Source organism: Homo sapiens, chromosome 9, assembly GCF_000001405.40.
Source record: "Homo sapiens chromosome 9, GRCh38.p14 Primary Assembly".
In the NCBI taxonomy this organism is placed as follows: Eukaryota; Metazoa; Chordata; class Mammalia; order Primates; family Hominidae; genus Homo; species Homo sapiens.
Window position 1 is genome coordinate 12,945,501 of NC_000009.12, and position 27,027 is coordinate 12,972,527.

Below are 27,027 nucleotides of genomic sequence, written 5' to 3' on the forward strand. Positions count from 1 at the left end.
AAATTACAGGTGAAAGAAACAAAATGCATGGAGGATTGTCAGTAGGCTATTCTTGGTGTAACGCTTATAAAATTTCCTCTTGAATGGAGCTCCACCTGGGAGGTTTGTGCCCAGTTTAGTCTTAGTGATGATTCTCAACTCAAATAATTACTTTTATTATATTGAGCATTGAAGTAATTGGTCATTACCTACTAGGGCAGTACCTAGAAGGTATTGAGCACCTACTATGTACTATTCTGTAATGCTAGGAATACAGCAGTAAGCAGAAAACATCCCTGTTATCAACCAGTTTTCATTCTTATGAGTATACACTTGCATTAGTCTGGGTTCTCCAGAGAGTTAGAACCAATAGGAGCTATACATACATACACACACACACGCATATGTATGTAAGACACATACACTTACATAATTCCATAATACATATACTTATGTAAGACATATATGAACCCTGACATATATCTGTAAACATATATACATATATACATCTGTGTTCATGTGTGTGTGTGTATATGTGTGTGTGTATATATATATATATATATATATATATATATATATATATATAGTGTGTATATATAAACACAGTTAAGGAGGCTGGAAAGTTCCAAGATCTGCAGGGTGAGTTGGCAAGCTGGAGACCCAGAAGAACCTATGGTTTAGTTCCAGTCTGAGTTTAAAGGCCTGAGAACCAGGGAAAATAATGGTATCATTCCAGACTAAGGACCAGCAGGACTCAGGAAGAGCTTATGTTTCAGTTCAAGTACAAAAGCAGAAAAACAAACAAACAAAAAAGAACGCTGATGTTCCAAGTCAAAGGCTATCAAGGAAGAAAGATCCTCTCTTAATCAGCAGAGTCAGCCTTTTTGTTTTATTCAAGCCTTCAATTTATTGAATGAGGCTCACCCATGCTGTGGAGGGCAATCTGCTTTACTCAATTTACCAATATAAATGTTAGTGTCTTCCAAAAGTACCCTCACAGAAACACCCAATGAAGTTGGCACATAAAATTAACCATCCTAACACTTATGCTTCAAAATCTGTAACTTCTTCTCAGAAGTCTCCCTTGAGTTCCATGCTCACATATCTATCTGCCTACAAAACATATAATCTTGAATGTTAATAGTTATCTAAAACTTATTAATGTAAAAGGAGAACACTTTATTCCAAATGCTTAACTTCCAGAAAAAAGCCCCTGCCTTTCTCAATGTTTCTCCTACTCTGTCAATGACACCATTACTTGGCCAGTAACTCAGGCTAAAAGCTGTGGAATCATTCCTGATGTATATCTTTCCTAAAGTCCTTATTAAATATAACTTACTATCATAGCATTGCCTATCTTTCTCCAGTGTTGCTTCTTCCAGTGCATCCTTCATTGACAACAGAAAAAAAACTTACTAAAATAAGCAAATCTGATCATGTCAACTCTACCCTCCTCATCAGCTAAATATTCTTTAATAGCTCCCTATAACATATAAACTCTATTCTTCTTAGTGTAACATAAAGAACCTTTCATGAAGCCTGTCTCTCCCATCTCGTCTCTCTTCATAATGCACTCAAACTATGTGAATCAGCCATTCAGCTATCCTAGGCTCTTTGTATTTCTCTGAATGGCACAGCCCTTAGACATCTATGCCTTTACATATGACTTTATCTCTCCTTAGTTTGCCTGTCTCCAACCTTTTCTACTTCAAGCATTTTTGTCTTTCAGAACCCATCCAAATATCACTTCTTCCCAGAATCCTTCCTTGACCTCCTGAGTCGGTGCTACGTGCATAGCACTAAGTGGGTACTCCTATTAGTACTTTTATACTCTGTGATAACTATATGTTTACTTGTCCATCTCCACCCTTTACTGCAAGTTTCTTTTGAGGAGAAATTTGTATTTGTGATTTGTATGTGAAGTCTGTCTGAACTGCACATACAAATCACCATGCATAGAGCCTGATACAAGCAAAAAAGGAAGAGAGAGAAGAAAAAGAGATTGTATAAGGTTCACAGGTTGTTAAGCATCTGGAATTGTAATTCTATGTTACAACTGGGAAAGGCATGATTTCCTAGGGTGCTCAACAGAAAAGATCTAAAAGAATGAATCATGATGTAGAGTGAAAAACATTCTCTTCCTCCAGGCTGTAAGATTCTCTGCAAAGGATCACATCAGACCAATGGATGCGATTCTCCTGTTCAATGAAAGGAGCATTACCAATTCATGAGTGGTGCTAGTAATTTCCCTGTTCTAATGGGGCAAGGCCTTACAGCAAGGTCGACATTCCAGAAGGGAGAACTTAAATGATACAACCATGAATACCCAGGAACCTGCTTTATGCCCCAGTTGTTCCCCTACCATCCATCAATCTAAAGGGGCCCATGATATCGTTGGGAAACAACAATCAATATCCTAAGATTTTCCTTATTCCCCATAATATAAGAAAACTCTTTCTTAAAACAAGTAAACAAATCTTCATCAATTGATGAACATTATGTATAATTTCCCAAAATTCTTAAAAATATTTTTGTTTTGAGAAAAGGTCTTGTTGTCATCCAGGCTGTAGTACAGTGACACAATCACAGCTTACGGTAGCTTTGACCTCCGGGGCTCAAGCAATCCTCCCACCTCAGCTTCCAGAGTACCTGGGACTACAGGTAAGTGCCACCACACCCAGCGAATTTTTAAATTTTTTAGTTTTTTGGTAGAGATGGAGTCTCCCTATGTTACCTAGGCTGGTCTCAAATTCCTGGGCTCAAGCGATCCTCCTGCCTCAGCCCCCCAACTTGCTGTGATTATAGGCATGAGCCACCATGCCTGGCCTAAAAATAATTTTCCAGAAAAAAAAAAAAAACTCCTTCTGTCAGGCCTCTGAGCCCAAGCCAAGCCATCACATCCCCTGTGACCTGCACGTATATGCCCAGATGGCCTGAAGTAACTAAAGAATCACAAAAGAAGTGAATATGCCCTGCCCCACCTTAACTGATGACATTCCACCACAAAAGAAGTGTAAATGGCCAGTCCTTGCCTTAACTGATGACATTACCTTGTGAAAGTCCTTTTCCTGGCTCATCCTGGCTCAAAAAGCACCCCCACTGAGCACCTTGCGACCCCAACTCCTGCGCACTGAGCACCTTACGACCCCCACTCCTACCCGCCAGAGAACAAACCCCCTTTGACTGTAATTTTCCTTTACCTACCCAAATCCTATAAAACGGCCCCACCTTTATCTCCCTCCGCTGACTCTCTTTTCGGACTCAGGCGCCTGCACCCAGGTGAAATAAACAGCCATGTTGCTCACACAAAGCCTGTTTTGTGGTCTCTTCACACGGACGCGCATGAAATTTGGTGCCATGACTCGGATCGGGGGACCTCCCTTGGGAGATCAATCCCCTGTCCTCCTGCTCTTTGCTCCGTAAGAAAGATCCACCTACGACCTCAGGTCCTCAGACCTACCAGCCCAGGAAACATCTCACCAATTTCAAATCCGGTAAGCGGCCTCTTTTTACTCTCCTCTCCAACCTCCCTCACTATCCCTCAACCTCTTTCTCCTTTCAATCTTAGCGCCACACTTCAATCTCTCCCTTCTCTTAATTTCAATTCCTTTCATTTTCTGGTAGAGACAAAAGAGACATGTTTTATCCGTGAACCCAAAACTCCGGCGCCGGTCACAGACTGGGAAGGCAGCCTTCCCTTGGTGTTTAATCATTGCAGGGACGCCTCTCTGATTATACACTCATGTTTCAAGGGTGTCAGACCACGCAGGGACACCTGCCTTGGTCCTTCACCCTTAGCGGCAAGTCCCGCTTTCCTGGGGCAGGGGCAAGTACCCCTCAACCCCTTCTTCTTCACCCTTAGAGGCAAGTCCTGCTTTCCTAGGGGGCAAGAAGCCCCCAATCGCTTATTTCCGCACCCCAACCTCTTATCTCTGTGCCCCAATCCCTTATTTCCGTACCCTGACCTCTTATCTCTGTGCCCCAATCCCTTATTTCCATGCCCCAACCCCTTTTCTGCTTTTCTGGAGGGCAAGAACCCCCCACCCCTTCTCCGTGTCTCTACTCTTTTCTCTGGGCTTGCCTCCTTCACTATGGGTAAGCTTCCACCTTCCATTCCTCCTTCTTCTCCCTTAGCCTGTGTTCTCAAAAACTTAAAACCTCTTCAACTCACACCTGACCTAAAACCTAAATGCCTTATTTTCTTCTGCAATGCCGCTTGACCCCAATACAAACTCGACAGTAGTTCCAAATAGCCAGAAAATGGCACTTTGAATTTTTCCATCCTGCAAAATCTAAATAATTCTTTTCGTAAAATAGGCAAACGGTCTGAGGTGCCTGACATCCAGGCATTCTTTTACACATCAGTCCCTTCCTAGTCTCTGTGCCCAGTGCAACTCGTCCCAGATCCTCCTTCTTTCCCTCCCGCCTGTCCCCTCAGTCCCAACCCCAAGCATCGCTGAGTCTTCCCAGTCTTTCTTTTCTACAGACCCATCTGACCTTTCCCCTCCTCCCCAGGCTGCTCGTCGCCAGGCTGAGCTAAGTCCCAATACTTCCTCAGCCTCCACTCCTCCACCCTATAATCCTTCTATCACCTCCCCTCCTCACACCCGGTCCGGCTTACAGTTTAGTTCCACAACTAGCTCTTCCCCACCTGCCCAGCAATTTACTCTTAAAAAGGTGGCTAGAGCCAAAGGCATAATCAAGGTTAATGCTCCTTTTTCTTTATCCCAAATCAGATAGCGTTTAGGCTCTTTTTCATCAAATATAAAAACCCAGCCCAGTTCATGGCTCGTTCGGCAGCAACCCTGAGACACTTTACAGCCCTAGACCCTAAAAGGTCAAAAGGCCATCTTATTCTCAATATACATTTTATTACCCAATCTGCTCCCGACATTAAATAAAACTCCAAAAATTAAATTCCAGCCCTCAAACCCCACAACAGGATTTAATTAACCTCGCCTTCAAGGTGTAAAATAATAGAAAAAAGTTGCAATTCCTTGCCTCCACTGTGAGACAAACCCCAGCCACAATCTCCAGCACACAAGAACTTCCAAATGCCTGAACCGCAGTGGCCAGGCGTTCCTCCAGAACCTCCTCCCACAGGAGCTTGCTACATGTGCCGGAAATCTGGCCACTGGGCCAAGGAATGCCCGCAGCCTAGGATTCCTCCTAAGCCATGTCCCATCTGTGTGGGACCCCACTGAAAATCGGACTGTTCAACTCACCTGGCAGCCACTCCCAGCTTCCCTGGAACTCTGGCCCAAGCCTCTCTGACTGACTCCTTCCCAGATCTTCTCGGCTTAGCAGCTGAAGACTGACACTGCCTGATCGCCTCGGGAGCCCCCTAGACCATCACGGACGCCGAGCTTCGGGTAACTCTCACAGTGGAGGGTAAGCCCGTCCCCTTCTTAATCAATACGGAGGCTACTCACTCCACATTACCCTCTTTTCAAGGGCCTGTTTCCTTTGCCGCCATAACTGTTGTGGGTATTGACGGCCAGGCTTCTAAACCTCTTAAAACTCCCCAACTCTGGGGCCAACTTAGACAATACTCTTTTAAGCACTCCTTTTTAGTTATCCCCACCTGCCCAGTTCCCTTATTAGGCTGAGACACTTTAACTAAATTATCTGCTTCCCTGACTATTCCTGGACTACAGCTGTATCTCATTGCCGCCCTTCTTCCCAATCCAAAGCCTCCTTTGCGTCCTCCAAAGCCTCCTTTGCGTCCTCCTCTTCTATCCCCCAACCTTAACCCACAAGTATAAGATACCTCTACTCCCTCCTTGGCGACTGATCATGCACCCCTTACCATCTCATTAAAACCTAATCACTCTTACCCCACTCAACACCAATATCCCATCCCGCAGCATGCTTTAAAAAGATTAAAGGCTGTTATCACTCGCCTGCTACAGCATGGCCTTTTAAAGCCTATAAACTCTCCTTACAATTCCCCCATTTTACCTGTCCTAAAACCAGACAAGCCTTACAAGTTAGTTCAGGATCTGCGCCTTATCAACCAAATTGTTTTGCCTATACACCCCATGGTGCCAAACCCATATACTCTCCTATCCTCAATACCTGCCTCTACAACCCATTATTCTGTTCTGGATCTCAAACATGCTTTCTTTACTATTCCTTTGCACCCTTCATCCCAGCCTCTCTTTGCTTTCACTTAGACTGACCCTGACACCCATTAGGCTCAGCAAATTACCTGGGCTGTACTGCCACAAGGCTTCACAGACAGCCCCCATTACTTCAGTCAAGCCCAAATTTCATCCTCATCTGTTACCTATCTCGGCATAATTCTCATAAAAACACACGTGCTTTCCCTGCCGATCCTGTCCGATTAATCTCCCAAACCTCAATCCCTTACAAAACAACAACTCCTTTCCTTCCTAGGCATGGTTAGTGTGGTCAGAATTCTTACACAAGAGCCAAGACCGCACCCTGTAGCCTTTCTGTCCAAACAACTTGACCTTACTGTTTTAGCCTAGCCCTCATGTCTGTGTGCAGCAGCTGCCGCTGCTTTAATACTTTTAGAGGCCCTAAAAATCGCAAACTATGCTCAACTCACTCTCTACATTTCTCATAACTTCCAAAATCTATTTTCTTCCTCATACCTGACGCATATACTTTCTGCTCCCCGGCTACTTCAGCTGTACCCACTCTTTGTTGAGGCTCCCACAATTACCGTTGTTCCTGGCCCAGACTTCAATCCAGCCTCCCACATTATTCCTGATACCACACCTGACCCCCATGACTGTATCTCTCTGATCCACCTGACATTCACCCCATTTCCCCAAATTTCCTTCTTTCCTGTTCCTCACCCTGATCACGCTTGATTTATTGATGGCGGTTCCACCAGGCCTAATCGCCACACACCAGCAAAGGCAGGTTATGCTATAGTACAAGCCACTAGCCCGCCTCTTAGAACCTCTCACTTCCTTTCCATCGTGGAAATCTATCCTCAAGCAAATAACTTCTCAGTGTTCCATCTGCTGTTCTACTACTCCTCAGGGATTATTCAGGACCCCTCCCTTCCCTACACATCAAGCTCCAGGATTTGCCCCACCCAGGACTGGCAAATTAGCTTTACTCAACATGCCCTGAGTCAGATAACTAAAATACCTCTTAGTCTAGGTAGATACTTTCACTGGATAGGTAGAGGCCTTTCCTACAGGGTCTGAGAAGGCCACCGCAGTCATTTCTTCCATTCTGTCAGACATAATTCCTCAGTTTAGCCTTCCCACCTCAATACAGTCTGATAACAGACGAGCCTCTATTAGTCAAATCAGCCAAGCAGTTTTTCAGGCTCTTAGTATTCAGTGAAACCTTTATATCCCTTTATGGTCCTCCATCTTCAAGAAAAGTAGAATGGACTAAAGGTCTTTTAAAAACACACCTCACCAAGCTCAGCCACCAACTTAAAAAGGACTGGACAATACTTTTACCACTTTCCCTTCTCAGAATTCAGGCCTGTCCTCGGAATGCTACAGGGTACAGCCCATTTAACGTCCTGTATAGACGCTCCTTTTTATTAGGCCCCAGTCTCATTCCAGACACCAGACCAACTTAGACTGTGCCTCAAAAAAAAAAAAAAACTTGTCATCCCTACTATTTTCTGTCTAGTCATACTCCTATTCACCGTTCTCAACTACTCATACATGCCCTGCTCTTGTTTACACTGCCGGTTTACACTGTTTTTCCAAGCGATCACAGCTGATATCTCCTGGTGCTAGCCCCAAACTGCCACTCTTAACTCTTGAAGTAAATAAATAATCTTTGCTGGCAGGACTATGCCAAATCTCCTTAAGCACTCTCTAATCAGACCTCCTGAGTCGTCCCAATTCTTAGACCTTTTATACCTGTTTTTCTCCTTCTGTTATTCCATTTAGTTTTTCAATTCATACAAAACCGTATCCAGGCCATCACCAATCACTCTATATGACAAATGTTTCTTCTAACATCCCCACAATATCACCCCTTACCACAAGACCTCCCTTCAGCTTAATCTCTCCCACTCTAGGTTCCCACGCCGCCCCTAATCCCGCTTGAAGCAGCCCTGACAAACATCATCCATTCTCTCTCCATACCACCCCCCAAAAATTTTCGCCGCCCCAACACTGCAACACTATTTTGTTTTATTTTTCTTATTAAGAAGGCAGGAATGTCAGGCCTCTGAGCCCAAGCCAAGCCATCACATCCCCTGTGACCTGCACGTATATGCCCAGATGGCCTGAAGTAACTAAAGAATCACAAAAGAAGTGAATATGCCCTGCCCCACCTTAACTGATGACATTCCACCACAAAAGAAGTGTAAATGGCCAGTCCTTGCCTTAACTGATGACATTACCTTGTGAAAGTCCTTTTCCCGGCTCATCCTGGCTCAAAAGCACCCCCACTGAGCACCTTGCGACCCCAACTCCTGCGCACTGAGCACCTTACGACCCCCACTCCTACCCGCCAGAGAACAAACCCCCTTTGACTGTAATTTTCCTTTACCTACCCAAATCCTATAAAACGGCCCCACCCTTATCTCCCTCCGCTGACTCTCTTTTCGGACTCAGCCCGCCTGCACCCAGGTGAAATAAACAGCCATGTTGCTCACACAAAGCCTGTTTGGTGGTCTCTTCACATGGACGCGCATGAAACCTTCTACTTATAAATGCCTTGATAGTGCCCAGAAGTCCCATTTGTGTCCTGCTTCTTCAGTCATTTCTGTTTAAATTTACTTTTTTGTAAGTACTAGCCTTGAAGATATAATTTGAAAAAAATTATTAAATTATTTCATTATACTGTATTAGATATCTATTGCTATAAAAATTACCCTAAACATACAGCTTAAAACAACAGACATTTATTATCTTATGGTTTCTCTGTGTTAAAAAAATCGGATGTGGCTTAGCTGGATGGCTCTGGCTCAGCGTCTCTCATGATTTTGCAAGGCAACATGTCAGCTTGGACCGCCGTTATCTGAAGGCTCAACTGGGGCTAGAAAGTCCACTGCTAATCTAGCTCACTTACATGTGTTTGGCAGGAGGCCTCAGCTACTTGCTGGCTGTTTGCATTAGGCCTCAGTTTCTTGCCACATGGACCTCTCCATAGGGCTGCTTGAGTGTCCTTATGTCACTCGTTTACAGTCAGTAATGCAAGAGAGAGAGCAGGGAGGAAGTACGATGCCTTATATGACTAATACAGAAAGTGACATACACTTATTTCTGCTATATTCTACTCATTTAAAGCAAATTCATACATCCAGGTGACAGGCAAGAGGAGCTGAATTAAGCTCCATCTTTTTTTGTTTGTTTGGTTTATTATTATTATCATTTTTATTTCAACAATAGATTTTTGGGTAACAAGTGGTGTTTGGTTACATGGATAAGTTATTTAGTGGTGTTTCATGAGATTTTGCTGCACCCATCACCTGAGCAGTGTACACAATACCGCTATGTGTAATCTTTTATCCCTTATCCCCATCCACCATTCCCCTAGAGTCCCCAAAGTCCATTATATCATTCTTGCTGACATTTCCAGGAACATCTCTTATCACTGTTTCCCTAGATCTTTCCACTGATCCATCTGTTCTCCATGCAGTTATCTAGACATGATATACTCTATCCGCACAGCTGCAGTGGAGGTAGCAGGGGAGAGAAGCGGACTGCGTGAGGGTCCTTGGTTATAGTTTTGTTTAGTTCGCTGGTTTTGTGTTGGTTAGCCTCCAGCCAGGAGGTGGCACTTTCAAGAGTGCATCAGCGGCCCGGCATGGTGGCTCATGCCTGTAATCCCAGCACTTTGGGAGGCCGAGGTGGGTGGATCTCAAGGTCAGGAGATGGAGACAATCCTGGCTAACATGGTGAAACCCCGTCTCTACTAAAAATACAAAAAATTAGCCAGGCATGGTGGCAGGCACCTGTAGTCTCAGCTACTCAGGAGGCTGAGGCAGGAGAATGGCGTGAACCCTGGAGGCGGAGCTTGCAGTGAGCCAAGATTGTGCCACTGCACTGCAGCCTGGGCGACAGAGCTAGACTCCATCTCAAAAATAAATAAATGAATAAATAAATAAATAAATAAATAAATAAATAAATAAATAAAAGAGTGCATCAGCTGCAGTAGAATAGGGAGGATGCAAGCATGCTCTAGGGTCAGGTGGTGGGTGGGGTCCCAAGAGATTATATTCTTTGTCTTCGGCTACCAGAGCGGGTAGAGAAAGACCATCAGGTGAGGGATGGTTAGGCGTGTCTGAACTCACTCTTCTGGGGCAAAGCTTGCTGGGGCCTCTGTAGGGATGGGGGTGTAGGTATCAGGTCAATGGAGTTATGTTCCCAGAGGGATTATGGCTGTCTCTGCTGTGTCCCACAGGTTTCCAGGGAAGTGCGAGAAAGCTGGCAATGACAAGCCTCACCCAGCTCCCACGCAGCCCAAAAGACCAGTCTCACTCCCACTGTGCTCCCCCAACAGCACCGAATTTATTTCCAGGCAGCTGGTGGGCAGGGCTGAGAACTTGCCCCAGGCTACAAGCCTCCCTGCTGAGAAAGCAAGCTGGGCTTTCCGGTTTCACCCCTCCCCACCTGCCATGGCTTCTGTGCTGGTATCTGCACTCCTCATTTGCCCCCTCCGCGGATTCTGTCCAGGAAACGTCATGCTGGGTCAAAATTGTTACAAACGTCAGCTGGAAATTTCCTTCTCCCTGTGGTCTTTCCCCAGTTCCACTGGCAGCCCGCCCCCATCCCCACTCAAGGACCCCTATGAGACAAAGTCAGGAATGGCTTCCATGGGGACTGAAAGTGCCCACAGGACTCTTCCTGATGCTTCTTCTACCACTATATTTTGCTCGCCTCTCTAAATTTATCTTAGCTCCAGCTAAGGTCAAATCCTTTTCCAGAGATCTGGACCTTCAGGTTCCCCAGTGAGGATGTGTGTTCAAAGGTGAAATTTCCCCCCTCACACTTTTAGCACTCAGTTTTTTTGCTGTCTCATGGAGCCTGCAGTGGCAAGCCACTTCCTTTAAAGGTCTGTGGATTCTCTCGGCTTTCCTGGTATGTTCCTGCAGTAGTTCTTGGAGCAAAAGTTCACAATGTGAGTCTCTATACACTGCTCATCTGTGCTCACTCAGTTCCTCCTCTAAGCTCCGTCTTTTGAAAGGAGAAATATCAAAGAATTTTTAGGCATATTTTAACACTACTACATATGGGTATTATAAAAACAATTTTTTTTTTACTTAACACAAATGCACAGTATTTCAGCTTTATTAAGTCTGTTTTCAGAATGAAATTCTCAGATGAGAACATGCATTTTGAGGAACACTTAAACTCCAAAATTACTTTTTGGAATAAATTTATTTTTATATCTATATCTGTCTCTGTTTGCATTGAATGATAGGGGAAGAAAATACACAACTATTTCCTCTCTATCCTCAGACTAAAAGAAAAGAATACCAGATCTATTCAATTCTTTATGTCCCTCTTTTACTTCCTGCATTTTAACATATCTGGATTAGCCAGCCTGGCCAGTATGATGAAACCCCATCTCTACTAAAAATACAAATAAATTAGCTGGGCCTGGTGTTGCAAAAGAATTAGCTGGGCCTGGTGTTGCATGTCTGTAGTTCCAGCTACTTGGGAAGCTGAGGTAGGAGAATGACTTGAACCCAGGAGGCGGAGGTTGCAGTGAGCCGAGATCGCACCACTGCACACCAGCCTGGGCGACAGAGTGAGACTCCATCTAAATAAATAAATAAATACAATAAAATAAAATGTCTGGATCAGGAGACAAAGTATAGTGGACCACACAACAAATAAAAAGGAAGCTGAATGAGACTTTCCATTGCGGTGCATGTTTGGGGAGAGGGAGGAGTATGTTCATAGTGGAGAATTTTTGTGTTTTTTTTTTTTTTTTTTGAGACAGAGTCTCACTGTCACCTAGGCTGGGGTGCAGTGGTGCAATCTCGGCTCACTGCAACCTCCACTTCCTGGGTTCAAGCAGTTCTCCTGCCTCAGCCTCCCAAGTAGCTGGGACTATAGGCACGTGCCACCACGCCCAGCTAATTTTTTGTATTTTTAGTAGAGTGGGGGTTTCACCTAGTTAGCCAGGATGGTCTCCATCTCCTGACCTTGTAATCCACCCACCTCGGCCTCCCAAAGTGCTGGGATTACAGGCGTGAGCCATCGCACCTGGCCCATGGTGAAGACATTTGACTGTCATTTCCTCCTTCACCCTTCTCACTTTTCCTTATCCTCTTATCCTTCCTTTTCCCTCTCTCCTCTCTTTTGTTGGGAACTGAGATTTCAGTTGACATACCCAGCAAGGGGTATAGGCCTAGCATTTCCAAGCCTGAGACTTTAGCTGCCTTCAGTTTCCTAATTTATTTTGGTAATACAAATTAAGCAATATGCTTGTCAAAAAACTGATTTTATTGACTGCCCATTTATCTTGCCCCTGGGACATTATTCTCTCTTAAGCATTTCCAAATTCTCTGTAAGTCAGGACCCCTAGTTCAAATTCCAACCTTTGCCACTTATTACAGTCATTATACACATTTTGCTCTCCATCTGCACTCTATTGTCTCAGGTTCTCTCATCCCCAGTGGTATCATGGAGCTTAGGTCTATAATAGCATATTTTCCAGGCCCTCTACAGAACATACCTTGTTGGTGGGTTTTCCAGCTTTATGTATTCTATCTACTTCAAAATGTCCGGTCCTCTAAGCCTCTTGATTCCCTCCTCCTCAATATGGCACAGAGTTTCTTGCATTTCTACTTTATTTAGTGGAAAATTTCACTTGTTCCAAGAACTCAGAATATTCCAAGTTCACCCTAACAGCATGTTAGTTGTATCTACCAAAATTCTAATCATGGCATTAAATATCATATCGCAGAAAAGTACTCCCATATTAACAAACTCTCTCTAACATGAATTTATGTTTCCTTTTGTTGCAGTCCCCTTTTCCCCTGTTCAATGAGGTACAGCCTCTTGTCCCACGACCAAGAAGAACAAGGCACGCAGACACCAGTGGGTGAGTAAGGCAGAGCAGAATTTATTAAGCAAAAGGAAAGCTCCAAGCAGTGAAAGGGGACCCTGAAAGTGGGTTGTAAGCAATGGGGCTGAGTTCTGGGTGTTTTATGTGGCAAGAACAAGGAAGTCTTCTGTGGGTTCTGCCTAAATGGGAGAGGGCAGAGATACAATAGATACACCTCCTAGGGGTGTTGTATCTGTGCATGCCTGGAGTTGGTCATGGTAACTCCATCTTGGTTATTACCCATGAGTGCCTAACTGAAACACACATGGTGGAGGAGGCTAAAACTGCAATGCTAATATCATGTTAATGACATTATAATGAGCTGGGTTAAGTTAAGGGTATTTAGGTTGATTTATTGTGCCTGCACCTAAGCTGGGACAGTCCCTTCTGAGCAGACCTCCTGGCATAAGGGGAAGTTCTTAACTACATTTCTTCCCTTTAGCTGCAGAGGCAGTGTGGGTGCTGTCCCACGGGTGTTCCTATGACTGTTGATCTTCCCGCTAGCTGCAGAGGTGGTGTTGCTGCTGTTCTGCAGGCGTTTCTATTACTGTTGCTCTTCTGCTGAGTCCCTCCCTGTCTAATTGCCTAACCTAACTCCCTCCTCTCACTTTGTTCCAGTATTCTTAAGATTCAGACTCATATGTATTCTTTACTGTTGCTTCATGTTAGGTCTCATTGAGGTCTCTTTCCTACCCCCTGCATGCCTATAATGTCCCAGACCAAGAGTTTTTTTGTGAGTTTGTCCTACGTAAGTGGTCTAATGGCCAAGAGTGGAGAAGACAGTCAGTCCTGGGGTGTTCAATGTTGTCTTGCAAGGGAGAGGCCTATGCATCATCTTCAGGTAAGGGAGGAGCATTAGTCTTTGGTAGAGAGGAATGGGCTAGTTGTGTAACCCCAGAAGGTTCAGGAGAAGAAGAAGAATGAAAATTTTCAATGCATGTACCTGAATGCCTCCATCCCAAGTTTCAGGACCTTGTTGACACACAATAATGGACCTGACCTTGACAGAGAAGACTTCCAGGGATTGAGAATTCAACTCACTATACATCTCTACTTCCCTTAAGTCCTGGGCCTGACATTTAGCTTTTTCTTCCTGTGTTGAGAAAGATGAAAGACCATTTGTGCTGTTTAGGAGGTCATCTGGCTTTACACTTCACCCTAAATTGGTGATAACACTCAGACATTCATTAACATTTCCAATATTTACCTTCACCAACAGTCAGCAACTTTCATAGTCCTTATAAGTACTATTAATATTTACCCCAAATTTCTCAAAGATAAGACATTCTGCCCACTATTGGGTTCATTCCACTTATATTTCACCTCTTTTCAGCACTGATGAAAGTGGAACAGTTGCTCTGGTACAGCATGGGTGATGTCATTCTCACTTCTAGCCAACAAGTGGGCAACCCAGCAGAAGGGTGACTTTAGAATCTGCTTCCTCCAATCACATCTGGTACAAAATGTCTGTGTTAAATTCCCCAGGAACCCAACTCTGAAAGAGAGATTTTCATACATGCAGTTTATTTGGGAGTTCCCTACAGAACAACACCTGCAAGGGAGTGAGGGAAGCTGGATTGGGTAGAAGAAAAAGTCGAACTGCAATACGGTTGCAATAAAGACCTTATTGGTCCCCTCAGGGAGCTCTGGACCTAGGATGGATATTCTAAATTGTTCTCAATTGAAACAAAGGAACCAAATCTGTTTTAACAAGTCATTGATGTGGGTTGACCTCTGCAAGGAACCCAACTTTAGGCACAGGAGGTTCCTTGGGCAGAGAATTCCTAGAGTAGGACTCACCTGTGTTTAGTCAACATATCCAGCAGCTGAGCAAATGAGACTTCCTTAGAAGCAGGGGGTAGGAAATTGATCTGATTAGCAAACCACTGCATCTACTACACTGTGCTCCCAGTAGCAGACAAAATGAAAGTACCATAAAAGTTGAGAAGAGGGTAAGGAAACTTTGTATAAAAAATAATAAGGCATAAATATAGAAGAGCATACTTTTTTTGTGAGTGATAGCAAATTGTTTGGGTTATACTAAAAAATGCAACAAAAAAGTATACATGAAAGATGCCTAAAGTATAATAGGTATAAATGGGAAATAAGTCAATTGGAGCAGAGTGTGAAGGGGTATAGATACCAGAGGAAGGAGTATGGGCTTTATTTAGTAAGCAATTGGAAAGTTTTTTGAGTTAAAGATGACATAAACTTGAGTTGAAAATTAAATAAAACATTTTTCTGATTTGTCTAATTCAGTCTATTGATTGTTCAGTTTCAGTTTACAACACATTTTTATCTATTTTAAAGATACTTCCAATACGATTCCCTCCTTCATTTCCTCTTTCTGTGTATGTTATATACACTGCATTCTTCCCTTAATAGCAGAAAAAAAGAACCAAGTACCTGGTTGGCTTGCAAAAAAGAGATTTGCATAGAAAAAGTCTACTAGGAGTAATATATTTGACAGTTTTGAATAAGCAATAACATGTGATGATTTTCTTATTGTACTTCAATTATCTGAGAAGTATGAAAACCATTACTCGAGTCGTTAAAGTTAGAATGAACAGTGGGGAATTCACTCTAGGAAGAAAATGTTTCTGTTGGCAGAATGCTGAAACAGTTAATCACATAATTATGCAACCCCTCATATCTATTTACCTAAACTTTATTTAAATTAATATGACTTTTGCCTGTTGCCTTGGAATATCAACTTCTAAAGCCATTTGGTAGCTATACAATGTACTCTAACAGAGTACTTACTGATTTTCTATGTTTTCTACTTCTGCTTTTAGTCCAGGATGTGCTGACATAAACTCCTATAACTCCATCTCTGCTTTACTTGGGAACACCATGATAATCAGCAATTTCTACAATCTGTTTTCTAAATGGTAAGACAAGTGGTATTTCAACACTAAGTGCCAGAAAAGTAACGATGCCACCAGGTTGTTTACTTTTCCCTATTCTGTTTCTAATGACTCAAAGCAGAGTATGACTACACAGACTATCTTACAAATTCCCTTTTTACTTTACATTTGTCACTAAAATTCCACAGAACGTTTGCATTACAGTGTTTCAGTCTGAAAAGTAGTACAGCTTGCTGGTGAAATAAAACTTGCTGACACATCAATGAGTGAAAGCCTACAGGATAGGTGGTGGGAGTGGGGAGGCTGTCAGTGAAGTTAGCAAGTCTTTGAAAGGCAGTCAAAAAAAAAAATAAACAGTAAGAAATGTTTGCACCATCCTCTGGACACTAAGTATGGTCCTGATCAATTAACAGGGGATCAGTGTTCTCTCTGGGGATGGTTTCCTTCACATGGACATACAGGCAGAGACACACCTCAACTGTACAATGGACATATGGATCTCATTGGACCATTATGACATCTCTATGAGCTAGGAAGACTCAGGATCATTCACTATATACAGATGAGAGAATGAAACCAAAAGAAGTTATCCAAGATGGAATAATCCATACAAGTTATCCAGGATGGAATAATTCGTAAGTGGCAACAGAATCAGTGTTGAGCATAAGCCACCTCTTTCAAACTGTGCTAATTTCACCTCATCACACACCTTCTGACTTTGAGAGCTTAGCTATTTGGTTGACCTAAATTGTAACTTAGTAGAAAATACATACCTGAGTCTCTTCTGTTCATATCCAGAGAAAGAACTCTTCAAGGAATGGTTTGGTGCTTTTGATTACATCTCAAATTTCAAGATCAGAAACACAAAAGCTGAACCAAAGTCCCCAACTTAAAATTAAAGGCTTCACAGGGCACCACATCACCTATGAATTATTCTTACTCACAATTTGAATTCTTACCTAGTCACAATTTGAATATGGCACATTCTTCAAAACAGCTGGCCTGGATCCCTCAAAATCATCAGTGACATTGAAGACAATAAAAGGAGGTGACTGTTCTGGATTAATAGAAAAAAAAAATGGCAATTAAATGTAATGCGTGATTGGATCCCAGATCGGAGGAAGTTATTGGGACAATTGGTGGAATTTAAAATAGGGATTTTACACTAGGTAATATTATAGTGATGTGAAATTATGTGAGAGTGATTATGGCATGTAGGAGAATGGCACTGTTCTTACAAGATATATGCTGAAGTATGTAGAGGTGAAGAATCATGATATCTGCACATTATGTACAAATGATTCAGTAGAAATTATATGTCTATATGTATTAGACATGTTTCTATTTTATAAAGTTATATATTATATAATTATATATTATTAAATATATAAATATATAATTATATAATATATATTTTATAATTATATATTATTAAATATATAAATATATAATTATATAATTTATATTATATAATTATATATTATATAATTATATATTATATAATATATAATTTATAATATATAATATATAATTATATAATATATAATTTTATAAAATATAAATATGTTTAAATTTATATATAAATTATATTTATATAATTTTATAAAATATAAATTTTTATATAATAAAACATATAAATATATATAATTATTACATAAAATGTATATATACATATATTAAATAAAATAATTATATACATATAATTTTATATAGTATAAAATACATAGAGAAGCAATTGTGGTGAAATTAACAACTAGCAAGTCTAGGATGATACATGGGTGTTCTTTGTAATATTCTCTTAACTTTTCCATTGGTTTGAGATCTCTCAACAGAGAGTAGGGCAAAAATGGAAATAACACAATAAGATTTTTTTCTGAACTGTTTAATTAATTTTATTTGGATTATAGTAACTTTACATAAGCTATTATTAATGCTACTTGAACATCTGGTGAAGACATTACACAGTATTGGGTTTCTGTATGACTGGGCAAAACTTACTTTAAGCCTTGAGATAGTTTTGCTTTGTAGTATTATTTCTAGCATGAGTATTAACCTTTTCCTTTAGTAGTAATGAAATAAATAAAAATATGAGAAGAATGGGGAATGAGAGAAAAAAGAAAAATAGGGAGGAAAGAAAGAAAAGTGTCTTTCTATATTTTCATTGATTAGTTCCTTCTTTAGCTAAATTCAAGGCACTTTTCAAGTGTCATCTCCAACACCATCTACTACAGAAGGCCATAGATAAAGCCCCATATCTCCTTGTCTTTCCTTCTTCTTTTCTGCTCTTGGGATCCTCATCATCTCATGATGTAGTTCATATGACATTGGGCAGGAAGTGAAGTGGTTAAAAACTGTCTCAAGCTACTGTGACTGGGGAAACTTCAGAGGATATAACCAGACATTTCTGGCCAGGTGCTGGTGGTGTTAGTCTATACTTCCTCTTCCAGTAATCCCACAACATTTTTTACCTCCATTCATATTCCTGGATGTTTTTGTTTTGGAACTGAGGAATGACAAAAAGGAAAAGCCTAGAAAAAAAGGAGGGGAAGAATGGGCAAGCCTCTGACATCTATTTTGTTTTCATCCCTCTGGTCACAGTTTGACATCTATTATTAAGTGCTGAAACTAATAAGTTTTGCACTCTTCAATGAAGAATATTTGGGCATTTGGGGGAAAAGGAGGGCACAGAAAAGGAAGTGGCACCGAACAGGAAAAAGAATGTTCTTTCTGCCTCTGAGTAGAACCCAGCACCCTTCTGGCATCATGAAGAAAGTCAGGGAGCACCCAGGGGTGGCACTGTGATCAGAACATGGACATTTTCAAGATGATTAAAGTTTTTCCAAATAATTTCATAGGTAAAGGACAAGGACAGATGGAAATCAGAGCAAAAGATAAAAAGGAGGAAAGACATGAGGACGTGGCTCCATCTAACAAAATGGTCTGTAGGCACATGTAAGGGCTCCTTGTGGCCTCCTCTGCGAAGGTCCTGCCTTCATTTTGGAGAGGGCTAGCTACAGAACAAACCTTGATGTTATGAGTAAGACCCATGATCTTGTATAATGGCTGGGTTTTATTTTTAGCTCATGCTCCAACAGATATTTGCTCTTCCTACCAAAATAAACTTCCAATGCCCTTCTATCAACAGATAGTGCAGGGAACAAACCCTGCTGGGAAATGTCTCCATCTAAGAGCTGAAACACACTCAAAGAACTCTAATAGGGTCAGTAGGCCAGTGAGCTGCAGCCCCCACATACATTATTATTAACAAATTTAACAAGCATTCATTACTCAGCAGAGCATATGAAAAGGAAGAAAACCCCCCACAGAAATTGCTGAAAAAGACTCCTTAATTAAAGACTGTACTTACAGCAGTTGCAAAGTCAAAAAAGAAAGGAATTCCTAAGTTTACAAAGATGGGTCTCAAAGCAAGATGGTAACATACAGTGCACACATCCCAGGAGAGACAGAGAAACATGGAACATGTTAGAACATAACCACAGCCAGAAAATGAACTCTTCCTTGAAAAGCAGTACAATATATGACCTAGGAGTTAAGAAAAGAGCCTCTAAAGAGAGGCCTGGGTTGGAATTCTAACTCTGCCACCTTTCATCTATGTGACCTCAGGAAAGTTATTTAAACTTTTTGTACCACAGTTTCCCCATTTTAAAAGTGGATTTAATGGTATCCCCCTCATGTCGTGTTGTGAAAATCAAATGAGTTAATCTTTCTGAACAGTGTCTGGAACATAGTAAGCACCAATAAATGACAGCTATTATAAGATATTAATTATTGTTGGAGATAAGTAATCCAGAGGCTAAGTCATCTCAAACATCACTTCTTTCTGGGGGGGAAAACTTAAATAACAGCAAACCTCCCAGTGTCTTTCCTTTCCTCTTTTTGTTTATTAAATCTGACAACATATGCAAAACTGTATCTTGTTTTTGTCATGATCACTGTCAAATGAAGTTAAGACTTATGTTAACTGAGCCAATACACTTGAGTAGCACCACTTACAGGAATTTACCTTGATGGGGCTTATTCTTGTCTGGGTGTTTGCCTGTTGAAATAGCACCTAGGCCCACCTCCATCATGACACCACGTGGATGGATGGCCTCTTCAACTAAACAGTGAGCTCACTGATTCCAGGGCAATGGCCTTAATCAGGAGCTGAATCTGTGGTGCCTAAGCCAACACAGTGCCTGGCATTTGATAAAGTCTGCTGGTTTTACCTCCTGTTGTATGCCTGTTTTTGTTATAAGCAGCAAATATAATATTGTTATAAACTTCAAGCAGCTGGAAAAAGCCAGTGAAAGTGATTATCTTGGGATCCCAAAGATCAATTTTTCAACCTTCCCTTTTGTAATAACTTGCCTTCAAAGCAGCTAAGTTCACTGGTTTTGTTTCTATGGTCTTGCATTTCAATGTGGATTAATTTTACCTGATTATGAATATATAATGTCAATAAGAAAGTGATTAATTTTACCTGATAATAAGTAGGTTATGCAGTGAAGTTAAGCATCAAACTACCAAATGTATCACAAGGGAGGTGTCCTCTGGGATTACCTGCCAATGACACGTCAGCTCTGCTCAGTCCAGATGATCTGAGATCAGGATATTAAAAGCCAAGAGTTGACAAATATTATAAAGGTTTAATAGTAAGGTGGAATTAGAATGACTAAAACTGAAGGAGCAAAAACCTCTAAAATGTGACCTCTTCTTCATTTCTTCCTAGTACCAGACATTTTATCTTCCGGTAGAATAGTCTTCTATCTCTGAATGGCCAGTCAATTACATAATTTGTTGTTGTTGCTCTTAAAATGTATCTGAAAGCTAATGATTTGTTCAGGATCACTCTGCAATCCAATGATGAACACAAAATCAAATTCATTACTATTAAATATTTAATAACATGAAAGATTCTGAAACTTTACATTAAAAAAATTTAAGTTCAGGATCACATGTGCAGTTTGTTATATAGAGAAACTCGTGTCAGGGGGTGTTGTTGTACAGATTATTTCATCACCCAGATATTAAGCCCAGTACCCAATTTTTCTGATCTCTCCCTGCTCCCACCCTCCACCCTCAGGTAGACCCCAGTGTTTGTTATTCCCCTCTATGTGTCCGTGTGTTCTCATAATTTAGCTTCCACTTATAAGCGAGAACATGCAGTATTTGGTTTTATGTTCCTGTGTTAGTTCACTAAGGATAATGGCCTCCAGCTCCATTCATATTCCTGCAAAGGACATAATCTCATTCATTTTTATGGCTGCACAGTATTCAATATTGTGTATGTACCACATTTTCTTTATCCAATCTGCCACTGATGGGCGTTTAAGTTGATTCCTAAACAGGATTAACCTAAATTAGGTTAATTAGGTTGATTCCTAAATGCCCATCAATGGCAGATTGGATAAAGTGCTGCAATTTGAATAGCGCTGCAATGAATATACACTTGCATGTGCCTTTATGGTAGAACAATTTATATTCCTTTGAGTATACAGCCAGTAATGGGATTACTGGGTGGAATGGTAGTTCTGTTTTTAGCTCTTCTACATATGAGATCTCAACTTTTAAAAGTCTTTATCTGAGATGTATTTTACCTTGATGATCAGAATTTGAATTACAATAGATTTCTAAAATGCCTCTCATTATAGTAAGAAGGTATATTTTTTTCCATAATGTATACTGTGCACATGTACTTCAAGATTTCTCCTTTAGATTTGTTAGTACTTGGTTTGTTTTCAGATCTTTGTCATAAGCCAATATAAAATGACCTAGATATTTCCCCAAATTTAAAAGTATTTACATAGAAGAAATTACAACAAAATGTGAAGTGATTTATTGAATTTGATTCTCCATTTTACATCTGGTAGGAATTGATGTAGACTTGGGATGTTACCACATGCCCCAAGCAGCTATTTTGGCTGAACAGGAAATTAAACTATATACCTAACTGTCTGCAGTGTGTGGCACTTGTAAACTACCGGAGAGAATGGAAATACTATGACAGAATTTCCTATGATTCCTTTCTTCAGGGATGCCTGGACGTCTGTTTAGATCCCTTCAAGCTTGTAAGGTGCCTGAGGCAAAAGTCAAATGTATTCAGATGCAAGGCAGTTAGTCTCTGTCTCTTCTGCCCTTCCCAATTTTCTGCCATATTTGACTATTTTAGTACATAAATTAAGCAGATTTATGTATTAAAATAGTCAAATATGGCAGAAAATTGGAAAATTATTTTCTGTACATAAATTATTCCAATCTTCAGGAAACTAGCACAGTGAAATTTTGAATATTTGCTAAGTGGAATTCAGTAAGTGCTGATTGAATTTAATAAAAATTCTGGCCAGGCACGGTAGCTCATGCCTGTAATCCCAGAACTTTGGGAGGCCAAGGCAGGTGGATCACGAGGTCAGGAGATCAAGACCATCCTGGCCAACATGGTGAAACCCCGTCTCTACTAAAAATACAAAAATTAGCCGGGTGTGGTGGCGTGCGCATGTTGTCCCAGATACTCGGGAGGCTGAGGCAGGAGAATCACTTGAACCTGGGAGGCGGAGGTTGCAGTGAGCCGAGATCGTGCTACTGCACTCCAGCCTGGTGACAGAGTGAGAATTTATCTCAAAAAAATAAATAAATAAAAACAAAAAATAAAAATTTAAATACCATACTATTCTAGTTATCTCTACCTGTATAAGTCAGCAAAAACTTAGTGGTGTATAACAATAATCATTTTTTATCATTACCTCTAACAGTTGTAATGAGGACTGGGCTCAGCTATACAGTTTTTCATCAGGGTCTCTCATGCAGTTGCTGTCGTATAGTATTGAAGATGAAGTCAGCTTGGAGACTTTCTCACTCACAAGTCTGGTGATTGCTGCTGTCTGCTGGCTGTGACGTCAGCTAGGGCTATATGCCTGGACACCTCCTACACATGATCCCACGACGTGGCCTGGACTTCCTCACAGCATGAAGGATGGATTCCAAGAGCAAAAGTCTGAAGACACACAGTCAGGCAGATGCCGTATTGCCTTGTTATGCTAAGCCTCAGGAGTCAGAGTCACAAAAACCAACATATTTTCAAAGTGAGAATAAACAACCCCGTCTCCTGATGGAAGCATGGCAAAGCATTTGCAAACATATTTTAAAGCCACCACCTAAATATGACATTTAAACTTTTCTATAGATAGGATCTTAATTTAACAACAAAAGGAAGGGAAACAAAGAACTACCAAGACATCTAAGAAAATAGGAAATTTGGGATGTTTAGAAAACTAAAAAGGCTTACACAATGTGTGTGTGTGTGTGTGTGTGTGTGCGCGCGCGTATGTGTATGAACTGTCAACTGAATTAACCATAAATTTGGGCTGATTATTGTTTATTACTACACAGTTTCATGAAAGCACATATTTTAGACAGATTTTCCTTCTTGTCCAGCAAGTAAGGATTAAGTGATTTTTATATGGTGGCAATAAAATAAATTGGAAGATAAAAAATTGAAAAAATTAGATACTGTCTTAATAAGTCAGACTGATTTAAAAGCAGCATTTAATATTTGTTGCAAACAGAACTAACAAAATGATACAGGAAGGCTTTCCATTAACAAATGAATAAATATGTTCAACTAAGCATGGACGTATTATTATCAAGGTAAAATTAAAATAAAAAACCGTAAACCACGACAGAAATGCTGTTTTATATTGAAAAAGCCAGAATTAATAGTGTAGATACAGCAGTATTGAACTTTTAAGCATGGAGAAATTAATAGAAATACAAGCGAAATGGCAGAATTTAAACTCTATTGGCCCATGATAAATCATGTGGTTAAAATACATAAAATATCAGAAAATGTAATAATGGAGTGATCCCAAATTATTTGACTCACAGAGAATATCCCTTATTTTAAAATAGCCATGGATCATCTGATTTTAGAAAATACCATAAAAATAGATTAACAGTATATATCCTACTAAAAATTTGGTCATGACATATTCTCATATCACAAATACAAATGGTTAGTAATGTATATAATAAATGAACAAACAAATGAGAAAAATTTTTCTAAAATCACTTAACACTATCCTAAGTAATCTCTAGGAAATAATGCAGAAGGATTATTTAGAAAATAATCAAAAGAAATATTACATAGCAAACCTACGTACTGTTGACTATAATCAGAAACAAATTTATATACTCAGATGCTTTCATTAGAAAAATGATAAAAGAAATTACTTAATTCTCCAGTTTAGACCAAAAGACTTTAAAGATTTAGGAAAAGAACAAAAGGTTGACCTGAGAAAATATTTAAAAGATAATAATAAAAGATACAAAAATTTATTTAATGTAAAATAGGAAAATAATTTACAGGTTTAATGAGAAAAAATAATTATACTAACATAAATGGAAAAATCTATTCTTAAGATTTAATTTGCATTCCTAATAATGATACTACTAAAATATGGAATAGAAAGACATTTTCTCAACATCAAAAAATGTATATTCAGAGGAAAATGACTAACATTATAAATATGATTTAGTACTAATGTTATTCCTAATAAAATAAGAAATAAGATGTGTTCCCTATATCTTTTGTAGGCAATATTGCTTTGACAATCTGATTAACAAGGCATGAAACAAAATTGAAAATCATGCATTTTTATAATTGTTCTGTATTTCTAATTTATTAATTTTTGATTGACAAATCACAATTTTGTGTGTTTATGGGGTACAATGTAATTTTTTGGTCTATAAAAAAGCAAGAATTATTGAAAGGAAGAAATATAATTATATGTAAACATTTGCATGTGATTACATAGCTAGAAAACCAAACAAATTAACAAAAATCTATTAGAACTTAAAAAATAATTTAGCAAGATAGCACAACAGAGCTTTCCAAATTTTAAAAATCTTCGATATATGACTACTTTTCATTTTCTCCTTTAAGGATGATCTCAAGGTATGGGGAGACTACAATAAGTTGCTGCTTGGCAACCCACACAAAAATTAGGAAACTGTAGTAGTTTCCTAGAGATGCTGTAACAGATTACCACAAACTTGATAACTTAAAACTCCAGGCATTTGTTGTCTCACAATTTTGAAGTCTAGAAGTTGGAAATCAAGGTATCAGCAGCTCCATGCTTTCTCTGAAGTCTCTAGGGAAGAATCCTTCCTTGCCTCTTCTACCTTCTGGTAGTTTCCAGCCATTCTTGGGCCTCCTTGGCTAAGTGCTGCATCACTCCAATTGCTGCTTTTGTCTTCACATGGCTTTCTTCTCTGTGTGTGTGTATCTTGGTGTCTCTCTTTATAAGGACACAAGTCACTGGATTTAGGACTGACCCCAGTCTAGTATGACTTCAACTTAATTACATCTGCAAAGACCCTATTTCCAAATATGGTCACATACACAGGTTGTGGGTGGATATGAATTTTGGTGGAACACTATTCAACTTGATACAAAAAATATCCCCACCTTGCTTCAATTCCATCTGTTTACACATATATCAAATCTCTTGCTTTTTGCATTTTGCCCCCAGTTTCCATCTAATCTCAACTCTCAATATGGCCAACTGTGTTTGTACTATTTACAATGGCATGGGCTGTGACTCCATGTCTGAATGGAAGTCCCATATTTACCAGGCTGGAAAAATGCAACTTTAAGAAAGAGAAGACCACTCTCATTCTTTTACCAGTGGGTTGTTCTTGTTTTGTTTTGTTTTGTTTTTCTCGTTTGACAGAGTCTTGCTCTGTTGTCCAGGCTAGAGTATAGTGTCACAATCTCAGCTCACCGCAACCTCTGCCTCCCAGGTTCAAGCGATTCTCCTGCCTCAGCATCCCAAGTAGCTGGGATTACAGGTGTGTGCCACCATGCCCAGTTAATTTTTGTATTTTTAGTATTTTTAATTTTTGAATTTTAGTAGGGGTTTCACCATGTTGGCCAGGCTGGTCTCGAACTCAGGTGAACCGCCCACTTTGGCCTCCCAAAGTGCTGGGATTACAGGTGTGAGCCACAGCACCTGGCCTACCAATGGGTCTTAATCCTTACTTAGGATCAGAATTACCTAGTGAAATTCTTAAGAACACAATTGCCTGGGCTCCCATCCTGTCCTCCCAGATTGATTCAATCAGACATAGGTGGAGCCCAAGCATTTGATTCCAATGTGTGGCCGAGTTGAAAGCTACCGCCTCGTACCTTTAACTGTATCCCCAATACACAGTGAACAGAATGATCATTTAGAAAATGTGGTCAATATGGATTCACAACAGCAAAAAAGTGCACAAATAATCAGCTAAGATTATAGGGCAGCATTGAACAAATCATTGATCTGTGACACACTATAGGGGTTGTGGATGTTAAGAAAAGGTAAGAACAAATGACAGCTTCAGTCCTAAGGAAGGTGTTTTCAATTAAGATGGAGTACAAGGGAGTAGAAAAGGAACAATACGGTCATGTTAATATGGCTGACTAATCAAACCTTTTATTTTCAGAATTTAAAAAAATAAAAAATGTTTGTTGCTAACTACATAGATAAATAGAAGAGTGCTTACCCTCTGGCAATTCAACCTAGTGAGGAAGCAGTTATGTAAAATAAAACAAAAATTAAAATGCAATATATTATATGAAAGGAACATGTAAGAATATACTACAATTTAAAATGTGCTCATCCTTTGACCCAGAAATCCCATCTAGGGAACTCTAGTCTAATAATATAGAGTTTTATGTTAGGATATTTGTAAAAGAATGTTTATGCACACATCATTATAGTAGGAAAAGAAAAGGAAAATAATAGAAAAAAAGAGATAAAACATACATGTCCACTAATAGAAGCAGGCTGAATAAATTATAAAACATTTGTTTACAGAAAGACTGAGGTATATACATGATACTTTGGTTTTAGAAAAGCAAGTTCCAACATAAAGCATACTGCATAACCATATTTTTGTAAAAAGAAAATAAAAAATCTCTACATGTTTTTAAAGTTATGTATTTATTTGTTGGAATAAAGACAGAAGAGTTTAAAACAAGTTACAAGCATTGAGTATACTGGAGAAATCTGATTGGAGGGAGTAAGAGTACAGTCCATTTACCATTTTTCGAGTATACTTATTTTGTTTTGCTTTTGACAACAGCATGTATTACATTTGTAATTTAAATATCTGATAAAATAATATA

The 27,027-nt window shown here is 39.9% G+C and overlaps 2 annotated features.

Annotated features, from left to right (window-relative positions):
• Positions 2,729-3,567: an enhancer, noted in NCBI's record as "OCT4-NANOG-H3K27ac hESC enhancer chr9:12948228-12949066 (GRCh37/hg19 assembly coordinates)". NCBI's record gives its function as "activates a minimal SCP1, AML or CMV promoter by ChIP-STARR-seq in primed H9 embryonic stem cells {active_cell/tissue: H9 hESC(primed)}" and the evidence as "EXISTENCE:reporter gene assay evidence [ECO:0000049][PMID:30033119]".
• Positions 8,026-8,684: an enhancer, noted in NCBI's record as "OCT4-NANOG-H3K27ac hESC enhancer chr9:12953525-12954183 (GRCh37/hg19 assembly coordinates)". NCBI's record gives its function as "activates a minimal SCP1, AML or CMV promoter by ChIP-STARR-seq in primed H9 embryonic stem cells {active_cell/tissue: H9 hESC(primed)}" and the evidence as "EXISTENCE:reporter gene assay evidence [ECO:0000049][PMID:30033119]".